Here is a 13,459-nt window from a genome sequence, read left to right on the forward strand (position 1 = left end):
TTTCACCATGTTGGTCAGGCTGGTCTTGAACTCCTGACGTCGTGATCCACCTGCCTCGGCCTCCCAAAGTTCTGGGATTACAGGCATGAGCCACCGTGCCCGGCCCATGAGAGGTTTTGTTTGCACTTCAAGAAGGACAGAAAAAGGCAGGCAGGCTGGGGAGCAACATAGTAAGGCTGAGGAAGTGATAGGAAAACAGCCTCCAAAAGGTTTCCCTGTAGATTCTGACTGGCTAAGTTTCCTGAAATAATATTAATTCTGTCCTCTTGCTTTTAATAGGACATAACGACTATATGTGTCCAGCCACCAACCAGTGCACCATTGATAAAAACAGGAGGAAGAGCTGCCAGGCCTGCCGGCTCCGTAAATGCTACGAAGTGGGAATGATGAAAGGTGGTAGGTACATCTCTCCCAGGGGCCCTTGGGGATGGCCCTGGCCACCGCCCAGTGCTGGCTCTACCCATTGGAATAACACCATGGGAATTTTGTGTTTTTTTCTTTTAATTGTTTTTTTTCTATTCTTATTTTTCTTTGCAACAAAAGTATTTTCATAATCCATTTTATTTTAAAAAGGTGGAAGTGTCTGGAACTGGAAATTCTAACATGGCATTTTGTGTTTTGGATTTTCAATGTAAATAATTATATTTTAAATCAAAGGTGTGTGGGAGGCGGTGATGGAAGGAAACGAAGAGTGCTTAGTAAATTATTCTAGAAATATTTTTCAGTTACTGTTTATGTTGCAAATGCTAGAAAATGATATCTGAGGATAAACTTTCCCTAAATTGAGACTTGTAAATGTGAAAGCTGAGTAGCTAATTTATAGCCTTCCAGTCTGTTATCATCCCTTAAGGAATGTGAATTTCAATCAAAAGGCAGTTTTCTCCTTTAGAACCTGAGTGAACCAGCCACTTTCTTAACCTCAGTGTCTAGCATGGTGCTGGCATAGTTGATTACTGAGCACTACACTAACAAGTGTCAGAGCATGCATGGTTTGTGACTGTGGGTTTGTGTTTTTGTGGTCTTTGTGGCTGTGTGTGTGTGTGGTTTTCTGTCTTCTCATGTATCCGATCTTCCAGTTTTGTCATACAGGAATCTGGAAACTGAATCCCAGTTCTGGGAATATTAGGAGCCCCATAAATGTGGTTGCCTGATTGACCTCATTGTATTCTTGGGAGTCTCATCTTGAGGAACATTGCTTCTAGTCTTGGATAGCCTTCAGTGTAGTGGAAGAGAACAAGTAGAAAATGTGTAATTAAAATAAAGTCATGAGGCTGAGGTGGGCAGATCATCTGAGGTCAGGAGTTCGAGACCAGCTTGGCCAACAAGGTGAAACCCTGTCTCTATTGAAAATACAAAAATTAGCTGGGTATGGTGGCGAGTGCCAGTAGGCCCAGCTACTTGGGAGGTGGAGGCAGGAGAATCACTTGAACCTGGCAGGTGGAGGGGGCAGTGAACTGAGATGGCGCCACTGCACTCCAGCCTGGGTGATAGAGTGAGACTCTGTCTCAATAAATAAATAAATAAATAAATAAATAAATAAATAAATAAATAAATAAAGTAACGGATTCATTTAGTGTTTCAGAAGGATACTGAAGGGAGGGAAGGGCTGATGATGGTGCTACCTGCTGATTGTAATAGGGAAAAGCCCGTTTCTTTTCTGAAGGAGGTGAAGCTTGGGGTGATTTAAGGAGAACAAAATTTCAATGAAAAGGAATAGTGATTTTGCAAATAGTGGGCAGCTAACCTTTAAATCATTCTTACTGGGACGCAGGAGGAAGGAGAGGAAAGACCAAGAATGGAGATTATGATGAAGACAAGCTTGATTGTTAACAAGCTTACAGTGACAGGTTTCATAGTCCCGGGGTCATAAATACGCCAGACAGGTTGAGGTTTGGAATGCAGCATTTGGAATAAATTCTCCTGGTGAAGAGATGCAATGTTGAATTTACGCATTCTGTGAGCTGTGACTATGACTATACATCTTGAACATCTGAAAAAGCAGCTTTAATTCAAAGGGTAATTAATTCCAAGAATTTAACAGCTACATTCAGAAAATGACACTTGAGTCATATGGATTAAATATTTAAGGAATTCATCTTTCTTTGTACTGTTGGAGAATTAGTCAGGCTTAATTAAACTTACAAAATGCGTCTTAAGGTAACTTGGTAAGTGACAGGAATATAACAGCTGCATAAGAAAAGCTTTATTTGAAACAGTGGAGTCGAGGTTTAATATTCTTCTTTGGCGATTATATGTAGGTTAAGCACAGGCTCTTCCATACATTCTCCTTGAAAGCTGAAATAATCAAGTCATGAATATGTCCAAAACAATTTTTAAAATGTGAGGGGTACCCATGCATTGACCCCATTTCATAAAACCGATTCTGTTTTTTTTTTTGTAATTAATATCCAGATACGGTCTGGCTGCATGAATATAAATTACGCATTCTCATTTTTAATCTAACAAAAATTCATATATGCAAAGACATAATAAAAGTCTCCCCACTGTTTTCTCCTAGGAATCTAGATAATTTGACTGTACACAACAGACTGTGGATGGCTCCATACACACTTGCACATGTATATTGATGACTGTAAAATATATATCTGTATTAGTTTTCTAGGGCTGCCATAATGAAATACCACAGGCTGGGTGGCTTAAACAACGGAAATTAATTTTCTCCCAATTCTGGAAGCTGGACATGCATAATCAAAGTGCTGGAATATTTGGTTTCTAGTGAGCCCTCCCTTTTTTTTTTTTGAGAGATGGAGTCTTGCTCTGTTGGCCAGGATGGAGTGCAGTGGCACTATCTCAGCTCACTGAAACCTTCACCTCCCAGGTTCAGGCGATTCTCCTGCTTCAACTTCCCAAGTAGCTGGGACTACAGGTGTGTGCCACCATACCCAGCTAATTTTTGTGTTTTTTTTTTTTGTAGAGACGGAGTTTCACTCTATGTTGGCCAGGCTGGTCTTGAACTCTTGACCTCAGGTGATCCGCCCACCTCGGCTTCCTAAAGTGCTGGGATTATAGGCGTGAGCCACCATGCCCGGCCTGTGAGGCCTCTCTTCTAGGCTTGTGGCTAGCCGTCTTCTGCCTGTGTCCTCACATGGCCTTTCCTCTGCGTCCGAGCACTCTTGGTATCTCTTTCTCTTCTCACAAGCCCTGTTGGATTAGGAGTCCACCCTTATGACCTCATTTAACCTTAGTTACCGCCAAAAAGGCCCTATTTCCAAATATAGTCATACCAGGGGCTAGGGCTTCAACATACAAGTTTTGTGGGGACACAGTTCATAACAGGCTGCCCTCCCAAAATACCATAGACTGGGTGGCTTAAGTAACGGAAGTCAATTGCCTCATAGCTCTGGAGGCTGAAGTCTGAGACTAAGGTGTTGGCAGGTTTGATTTTTCCCGAGGCCTCTCTCCTTGGCTTGAAGATGGCTGCCTTCTCTCTGTGTCCCCACATGGCCTTTTCTCGGGGCATCCACAGCTTCTTCTTCTTCTTACGAAGACACCAGTCATATCGGATTAGGGCCCCACACACAGGACCTCATTGAATCTTAATCACCTCACTTAAGGTACAATTTCCAAATACAGTCACATTCTGAGGCCCAGGGGGTAAGATTTCAACATATGAGTTTTAAGGGTACACAATTCAGTATGTGGCAATATCCCATAGGGGTTACTCAGTGATTGTTCAGTATTTCTTTACATGTAAGGAAAACATGTATCTTTCTGGCAGTTTTTATATGTACATAAGTTTTAAATGAAGCTTTAAATTCATAAAATTATAGCCCGTGAGAACATCTTATTTTAATGATATGTATAAAGTACTTGCCATAAATCAATATAATTTATTGTATTTTCTACAACATGGAATACCACACATGGCCACAGGATACCCTCTATAACAACTCCTTGAAAAATCCCATTGAATAAAGCCTTAATTTACAACTGGAAGTACAATGATAACTAACTATAAAATGTGCAGTCACATGGCAAAGGCCAGCTGTGACTGAATAAATCTTTACAACATGTTTTCAACCATTAGGGTTCACAACAATCCACTTTCTTAACCAGGCTGGTTACCAACTAGGATATTGAAACTCTACCTATGAAATAAAAAGTTTAGTTTCAGTTAAAAGAGAACCACAGACCTACTCCCTATTTTCATAGCAAGGCTGAAAAAATTCACTGAAGATCTATTGTAAAGATCCAAAAGAGTGCATGATTTGTCTCCATGAACTAACAATTTTAATCTGTTATAATACTTACTGCCTCTGAAAATCCCAGCATCATTATTAGATTTGGTTCTGAATCATGGTAGTTCTATAAGATGCAGGATTTGAATTGCACTTTCGGGAATGTGCTTTTCTATCCTAGTACATGTGCTGGTTTCTCTGCATTGCTTTTTCCTCTTCATTTGTCTCCTTCCTCTTGAACTTTAGGTTGTAGATTACATGTCTCTTCTTCAGGAAGGCCTACACAGTTACCTGACAGTTCCTGAGGCTCGAAGTTCAAAATCAAGGTGCTGGAAAATTCATGTTCTAGCTTTAATGGCAAACAGCTCTTCTCTTAGCTCTTATCACCATTATTATTAGTCATTCAATGTCTGTCTTTACATATGGTCCATAAACTCCATGATGGCGCGGGGGTGGGGGGTCTCTGTGTCTTGTTTACCGATCTTGCATGAAACAAGTCACAAGGTAGGTGTTCAAGAAGTATTTTTTTGCACTAATTAATGAATTGATTCAATTCATTTAAATAGTTATTTGTGTAGGGCTTCTTATATGCAAACCCTTGGGAATAAAGCAAATATGAATAAGATTGTAGTCCCTTCCCTCAATGTCCTCACAGTATAAAGAGAACATTTGCATGGGAAGCGGCAAATAAAAATCTCAACGGCAAGTGGAGACTGGGTTGCAAGATGGCTCAAATATTGAATGATCAGAATGGGAGTCTAGAGCTTTAAACAACCACTCCCAGGTTTAGTCCAACTCAGAGTATTACTCAGACACCTGACATCCAAGACATATATTATTACTCAAGAATGTGGCCTTTTTGCTGAGTTTGGTAGAAAGAGGAACTCTTCCAAAGATAAATGTGTTCAAATGCTGGCTCCTCCTCAAACTTGCTGAACAACCTTGTTAAAGTCACTTTTATGAGCTTCACTAATTTCAAATATGAAATGGAGATAAATAAATTTTATTGTCCAAGCACGGTGGCTTACGCCTGTAATCCCAGCACTTTGGGAGGCTGAGGTGGGCGGATCACCTGAGGTCAGGAGTTCAAGACCAGCCTGGCCAACAAGGTGAAACCTCGTCTCTACAAAATTAGCCAGGTGTGATGGCAGAAGCCTGTAATCCCAGCTACTCAGGAGGAGGAGGCAGGAGAATCACTTGAACCCAGTAGGCACAGGTTGCAGTGAGCCGAGATTGCACCACTGCATTCCAGCCTGGGCAACAGAGTGAGACTCTGTCTCAAAAATAAATATATAAATAAACAAATAAATAAATTTTACTTAATGAGTTTGTCATGAAGATGACAAATCGTAACATGGGAAAATATAAATCTAAAGTGCCACACAAGTGTTAGCTATTACATATCTTTTTTGTCTTAAAAATAATTACTATCTTAGTTAAAAATTTCATCATATACGAGCACTGCTGGGTTTTTTTTTTCAGCTGAAAGAAAGAGAATGGCAATTTCATCACTTCTACAAGATATAAATTTCTAATTTCTTTGTGGAGAATAAAAACTTGGCTTAAACACCTAAGCTTTTTTTTCTTTTCTGATCTCATATGCTGAATATAGCTGAATGACAAGTGAGATGTGTTATTTATCATTTTATGATGCCAGAGATTTACACGAATTTGTGAAAGGTTTTTTCTTACCATAGATTCAGAGGCGTGTTTGAGGCAAGGTTTTCATTGTGCAGTGAGGAAATTGGCACATAGAAATCAATTGATGTGCAGGACTCTTGGACTGACTATTCTGGTTATGTTTCCTTATAACACATTAAGAAGAAATTTGAGATAAAGTAGTAATTGTCAACTAGTCTTTATTTATTTTAATAACAAATGTTGCAGTATAATTTTTAGAAATATTCCAAAATAACAAATAAATCCAAAAATTAACGGGATAATTTTAAAGTGAGAAAATAACATACTACTAATATAGACAGGGAAATATACATGTGTCCAGAATGATTCAGAAGCCCAATGAAACACTGGAAAATAAAATATTTTCCTGTTGCTTGGGTTTAATATTTATCACTATGAGTTATCGTAATTTGCTTTATTGATGGATAAACTCCCAACCTGGGGACTGCGATTGGAATCCTCTTTAATCCTACATTGGCTATCCTTTATCAAAAGTAAACAACCGGCTGGCCATGGTGGCTCACACCTGTAATCCCAGCATTTTGGGAGGCCGAGGCGGGTGGATCACCTGAGATCAGGAGTTTGAGACCAGCCTGACCAACATGGTATAACCTCGTCTCTACTAAGGATACAAAAATTAGCTGGGTGTAGTTGTGCCCACCTGTAATCCCAGCTATTTGGGAGCCTGAGGCAGGAGAATTGCTTGAACTCAGGAGACGGAGGTTGCAGTAGGCCAAAATCACACCACTGCACTCCAGCCTGGGTGACGGAATGAGACTCCATCTCAAAAAAAAAAAAAAAAGTATACAACCAATTATTAATGTTCATGATGGTAGAATCAAATTAATAAATTAAAAATGTAGATGTGAATTACTTTTTTTGGATTGCCGAATAATTGTGGAAGATTTGTAGCTGCATGTGAATCCAAGTTTCCTCAAAAGGTAGGTTGGGGTGCTCCTATTTAGGATTGAATTTAAGAAAAATGTTAAAGAAAAGCTAGCTGCTCTTTACCAAAGAGAGACTGGTTGTTTTAAGCAGTAATCTAATCTATATATTTATGATATTGAAACTATTATTTTATTAATTCATATAATAGATATTTATTAAAAACTCCCCATATTATAATTTTTTATTTGCAAACAAATATACTGAATCAAGTAAGTGAATCACATATGGACCTTAAAGACTAATGAATCCAATGTTTGACAGTATTTTATATCAATCAAGCTCTGGTTTCCACAAGCAGAAGCAGATCGTCATCTATGAAACAGATAAAAGTTGATTTGGCATACCCTCTCTTTATTCATTATGATGTTCATGAGAAACCTTCTTAGAACCCTAGGGCTCCAAGGAACACAGTTTGCAAGCCACTGATCTAATCTAACTCCTTCATCCTCTAGGTATGAAAATCAAGGCCCTCCATTACCTATTAGGGATGAAGGCAGGTCAGCCTCTGTGACTGTCAGTTCAGCTGGAGGAAGCATGAGTGTAGGCAGCACAACAATCCCTATAAGGACCATGTTCTTAAGCTGGTTTTTTTTTTCCTAGTAGTTTTTACAGTTTCAGGTCTAACATTTAAGTCTTTAATCCAGGTTGAGTTGATTTTTGTATACGGCATGAGATAAGTGTCCAATTTCATTGTTCGGTGTGTAGATATCCAGTTTCTCTAGAAACATTTATCAAAGAAACTGTCCTTTCTCCATTGTGTGCTTTTAGCAGCTTTGTCAAAAATTAATTGGCTCTAAATGAATGAATTTATTTCTGGGTTCTCTATTCTGTTCCATTGGTCAATACATGCTGTTTTAATTACTATAGCTTTATAGTATATTTTGAGTCAGGTAGTGTTATGCCTCTAGCTTTGTTCTTCTAGCTCCAGATTGTTTTGGCTATTCAGGGTTTTTTTGTGGTTCCATACAAATTTTTGGATTGTTTTTCCACTTTTGTAAAAAATGTCATTGCAATTTTGATAGGCATTGCATTGAATCTGTAGATTGATTTGTGTCATATGGATATTTTTAACAATATTAATTCTTCCAGTCTATGTATGGTATATCTTTCCATTTATTTGTGTCTTCTTCAGTTTCTTTTATTGATGTCTATAGCTTTTAGCATACAATTCTTTCACTTCCTTGGTTAAATTTATTCCCAAATATTTTGTTTTATTTTTATAGCTATTATAAATGAAATTTCTTCTTGATTTCTTTTTTTGGATAGTTTGCTGTTAGTGTATAGAAACACTACTGATTTCTGTATGTTGATTTTCTCTTCTGAAACTTTACTGAATTTGTTTATTAGTTCTAATAGTTTTTTGTGTGGAGTCTATACTTACATGATCTATGTGTAAGATCATGTCATCAGCAAACACGGGCAATTTAACTTCTTCTTTTTCAATTTGCATGCCTTTATTTTTTTTCTTGCATAATTGCTCTGGCAGGAACTCTCAGTACTATGTTGAATAGAAGTGGTGAGAGTGGGCATCCTTGTCTTGTTATTGATCTTAGGGGAAGACTTTTCAAATTTTCACCATTGAGTATGATGTTAGCTGTAGGCTTGTCATATATGGCCTTTATTGTGTTGAGGTACACTCTTTCTATATTTAATTTGTTGAGAGTTTTTGATATGAAAGGATTTTGAATTTTGTCAAATGCATTTTTTCCTCTATTGAGATGATTGTATGGTTTTTGTCCTTCATTCTGTTAATGTGTGTACCATAGTTATAGATTTGCATATGTTGAACCATCGTTGCATCCCTGGGCAAATCCCACTCGATCATGGTGAATGATTCTTTTTCATGTCATGACAATCAATTTTGCTAGTATTTTGTTGTGGATTTTTGCATCTATATTCATCAGGGATATTGGCATGACATTTAATTTTCTTGTAATACCCTTGTCTGGCTTTAGTATCACAGTAATGCTGGCCTTGTAAAATGAGTTTGGAAGTATTCCCTCCTCTTCAATTTTTGGGAAGAGTTTGAGGATTGGTATTAGTTCTTTAAATATTTGGTAGAGTTCAGCAATAAAGCCCATTAGGTCCTGGGCTTTTCTTCCATAGAGGACTTTTTATTGCTGATTCAGTCTTCTTTCTAGCTATTGGTCTGGTCAGACTTTCTATTTCTTCATGATTCAGACTTGCTAGGTTTATGTGTCTAAGACTTTATCCATTTATTCCAAGTTATCCAAGTTGTTGGTGTGTAATTCATCATAGTACTCTTATAATTTTTTGCATTTCTGTGCTATCAGTTGTAATGTCTCCTCTTTTATTTCTGATTCAGTTTATTTGTGTCTTCTCACTTTTTTTCTTAGTCTAGTTAAAGGTTAATCAATTTTGTTTATCTTTTTAAAAACAAATTCGTAGTTTCACTGATCTTTTGTTTTGTGTTTTTAGTCTCAATTTTATTTATTTTTCCTCCGATCTTTATTATTTTCTTCCTTCTACTAACTTGGGGCTTAGTTTATTTTTATTTTTCTAGTTATTTGTGGTATAACATTAGATTGTTTGAGATCTTCTTCTTTGATGAAGACATTTATTGCTATAAACTTCCCTCTTGAAAATACTCTTGCTGCATCCCACAAATTTTGGTATGTTGTGTGTCCATTTTCATTTGTTTCAAGATATTTTTCAACTTTTCTTTTTATTTCTTCTTTGACCCACTGGTTGGTTCTGAGTATGTTGTTTTATTTTCAAGTATTTGTGAATTTTCCAAAATTATTCTTGTTGATTTATAGTTTCATATTATTTATGGTTGGAAAAAATACTTGATATGGTGTCAATGTTCTTAAATTTATTAAGACTTATTTTGTGTCCTAACATATGAACTATACTGTTTTTTTTCTTTTTTTTTTTTTGAGACAGAGTCTCACTGTGTTGCCCAGGCTGGAGTGCACTGGCTCAATCTTGGTTGACTGCAACCTCCGCCTCCTGGGTTCAAGCTATTCTCATACCTCAGCCTCCCGAGCAGCTGGGAATACAGGAGCACACCGCCATGCCTGGCTAACTTTTTGTATTTTTTAGTAGAGATGGGGTTTCACCATTTGGGTCAGGCTGCTCTCAAACTCCTGACTTCAAATGATCTGCCCACCTTAGCCTCCCAAAGTGCTGGGATTACAGGAGTGAGCCACCGTGCCAGGCCATGATCTATACTGTTTTATCTAACATTCAGTGGATAATGTTCCATGTGTATTTGAGAAGAATGTGTGTTCTGTTGCTGTTGGATGAAATATTCTGTATGTATCTGTTAAGTCCATCTGTGCTAAAGTATAGTTTAAGTTTGAACTTTCATTATTGATTTTCTGTCCGAATAATCTGTCCATTGCTAAAAGTGGGGTACTGAGTTCCCCAATATTATTGTATTACAGTCTATCTTCCCTTTCATATCAATTAATATTTGTTTCATTCATTTAGGTACTCCAATGTTGGGTGCATATGTATGTTCACCTGTTATATCCTCTTAATGAATTGACCCTCTTGTCATTATTTAATGGCCTTCTTTGTCTTATTTTATAGTTTGTGACTTAAAGCCTATTTTATTTGATATAAATATAGCTGTCTCTGCTTTCTTTTGGCTTCTATTTTCATAGAATGCCTTTTTTGGTCCCTTCGCCTTCATTCTCTGTGTTTTCTTAACCATGCATTGAATCTCTTCTAGACATCATATAACAGGGTCTTGTTTTTTTAAATCCATTTACTCACTGTATCTCTTTCTTCCTATCTTGCTGTCTTCCTTTGTGATTAGGCGATTTTCTATAGTGGTATCCTTTGAATTCTTACTTTTTGCCTTTTGTATATTTGCTACAGGATTTTGCTTTGTGATTACCATAAGGCTTACATAAAAGATCTTATAGTTATACCAGGCTATGTTCAACTGTTTATAACATAACTTTGATTAATTTTTTAATACTCAATTTATTTGATTGCTTATTTAGAGATAATTTTGATTCCTATCAGAAGAAAACTGAGGTATCTTTATGTACCTTTTCAGGAATGACCACGTCTCACCTTACCTTGAATGTTACAAGAAATGCTGGCAGTGACTCAAGGCCAGGCAAAAATTTCAGAAAGGGTTTATCTTGTTTGTACAATTTTCTTTTGCAAAAATAAATGATTCTTGATATGATGTAAGGACTTTTTCCGTAGATAGAACCTATAAAATGCAGAACTTTGGGGCAGTAATTATATGAATGAATTGCTACTTTAAAATTCTGTAAGTCCCCAGGAATTTCCATATGCTTTTTTTTGTTTGTTTCAGTGGTTGTGATCAGGCTAATGGGTAGTTTTTAGAGCTGAAAAGAACTTAAAGATCATCTAGTGCACCTTTTTGTTTTTCAGTTGGATTGTTCTTGTCCAAATCACTAAGCTAAGTTAACTGCTCAGACAGGAAACCAAGTCTCCTGACCCATGGTTTAATGCTCCTTTCATTGTTATGCGTCTGCCTGGCTGACCTGTTAGTAACATAAAGTGTCATGAGAGATAGACATATGCATGAGTAAGATATTAATATCCCATAAACCAAAACTGTGACTTAGGAAATGTTACGGTGGGCACAGGATATTACTCCTCTTCAACAAAAACATCAATCATATGTTGGCTTAGTTGCACAGCAGAAGTACCAAAATAAATTTATATAGACGGTGTCACAGATACTTTAAAAAGACCTACTTAAGATTTAATTACCTAATATTATTTAATATTTAATATAATTTAAAAGGGGCATTTTTATCTTTCAGCCAAGGTTTTAATTGTTTTTAGATAATTCTATTTTTGAAAGTCTGATTTTGTTTTAAAATGCCCATTCTGGTATATAAAAACATCATTTTGTCAAATAGGAGTCCCAGCTAAGGGCCAAGCGTGCAATTAAACTTGACTCTTTACCTACTACCTAGGAACCTTGGGCAGATCACATACTTTTTCTTCACTCAGTTTTTACTTCTGAAAAATGCCAGCTGAAGTATGTTTCAAATCTTAAATTTTATGTTTTATGATCTAAGTTCAGATTAACAATGGAATGGTTAGAATCCAAAGCTAAAGGTAGTATATACAAGTGTATATTGGGGGTTGGGAGCAACTGCCGCAGCTATCATATTTACATTTCAAGCTCAATTTAGAACAACTGCGGGCAACTGTAAAAACCGGTAGGAATGGGCAGAGTTATTGTCTTCACTAGTCATTGTGGAAAGTGAATCTCTTCTGAATGGAGAGTCACAAAAATGAGTTTGATGCTTTCATGATAGTGAAATGAGAAGATGGCCATATATTGCTATAAATCACCAGCAACATAAAAGAAAAAATTCAAAAATCAAGTTTGTTGAGGCAGGACTCTGAAAAGATAACTAAGCTTTTTTTTTTTTTTTTTTCTGTTAGAGATGTAATAATCATGACTAAGACTGGAATCCCAAGAGCTGGTGAGACTTTCTAGTTTCTGCCTTGTGGAAAGAGAAAGGAAGAGGCCAAAAAAGATAATGAATTTTGGAAAGTTCCTGATTAAATATCGCATAGGCTAGTCTGGTTATGTCTGCTTGAAAACTTATCCAGTAGGTATAAACCAACACACTTGAGGCCAGTCTTTTTGGAAATTACAGAAATATATGTCAGCCTTAAGAGACATCCTATGATGAAGAGCAGAGGGAGTTGTTTATAAAGAAATGTTCTCATTGGCTGGGCATGATGGCTCACGCCTGTAATCCCAGCACTTTGGGAGGCCGAGCTGGGTGGATCACTTGAGATCAGAAGTTCCAGAGCAGCCTGGCTAACATGGTGAAACCCCGTCTCTACTAAAAATATAAAAAAATTAGCCGGGCATGGTGGCGGGCGCCTGTAGTCGCAGCTACTCGGGATACTGAGGCAGGAGAATGGCGTGAACCTGGGAGGCGGAGCTTGCAGTGAGCCAAGATCGTGCCACTGCACTCCAGACTGGGCGACAGAGCAAGACTCTGTCTCAAAAAAAAATTAGCCAGGCATGGCGGGGAGCGCCTGTAATCCCAGCTACTCAGGAGGCTGAGGCAGGGAAATTGCTTGAACCCAGGAGGTGGAGGTTACAGTGAGTTAAGATGGCACCATTGCACTCCAGCCTGGGTAACAGAGCTAGACTCCATCTCAAAAAAAGAAAAGAAATGTTCTGGTCATGCCTGGAGATAATACATGGTTTAGTTTATGCTTGATTCAGCAAATAAAAATTGGTGAGGAACATACAGAATTATATTTAGGTGATTATATTTTTTATATTTTATATATAAAATTTATATTTTTTATATTTTAGGTGATTATATTTTTAAACGCTTGCTTTACAAGACTAATCATTATTACTTTTTTAAGTTTTGTGATATATTTTATTTAACTAATATACCCCAAATAGTATTTCAATACAGAATCAACATTTAAAAATTATTGATACATTATGTATGTTTTTTTCCTTCACTAAGACTTCCAAATCCTCCAAGTGTTTCACACTTACATCTTATTTTGGACCAGCCAGATTTTAGTGCTCATTTGACCATGTGATCTGTGCTTAAGGAGGCTGCTGGAGCTGAGGCTGGGCTGCAGTACCAACATAGAAGTCTTTATCTGTCAAACCAGGAGTTTGA

General features: G+C 37.2%; 1 protein-coding gene across 31 annotated transcripts in view; it reads left to right on the forward strand.

The window, feature by feature from the left end:
* ESR1 (estrogen receptor 1) overlaps window positions 1-13,459 on the forward strand; it is a 472,948-nt gene that overhangs the window by 223,704 nt on the left and 235,785 nt on the right. For 30 of the 31 annotated variants that reach the window (XM_047418290.1, XM_017010377.2, NM_001385568.1 and 27 more), the window contains one exon: window positions 280-396. In XM_047418290.1, the coding sequence (XP_047274246.1) occupies window positions 280-396 (117 nt within the window). The remainder of the gene's footprint in view (window positions 1-279; window positions 397-13,459) is intronic. The other variant, NM_001291241.2, reaches the window with a different exon arrangement.

This window comes from Homo sapiens, chromosome 6 (genome assembly GCF_000001405.40).
Source record: "Homo sapiens chromosome 6, GRCh38.p14 Primary Assembly".
Lineage (NCBI taxonomy): Eukaryota > Metazoa > Chordata > Mammalia > Primates > Hominidae > Homo > Homo sapiens.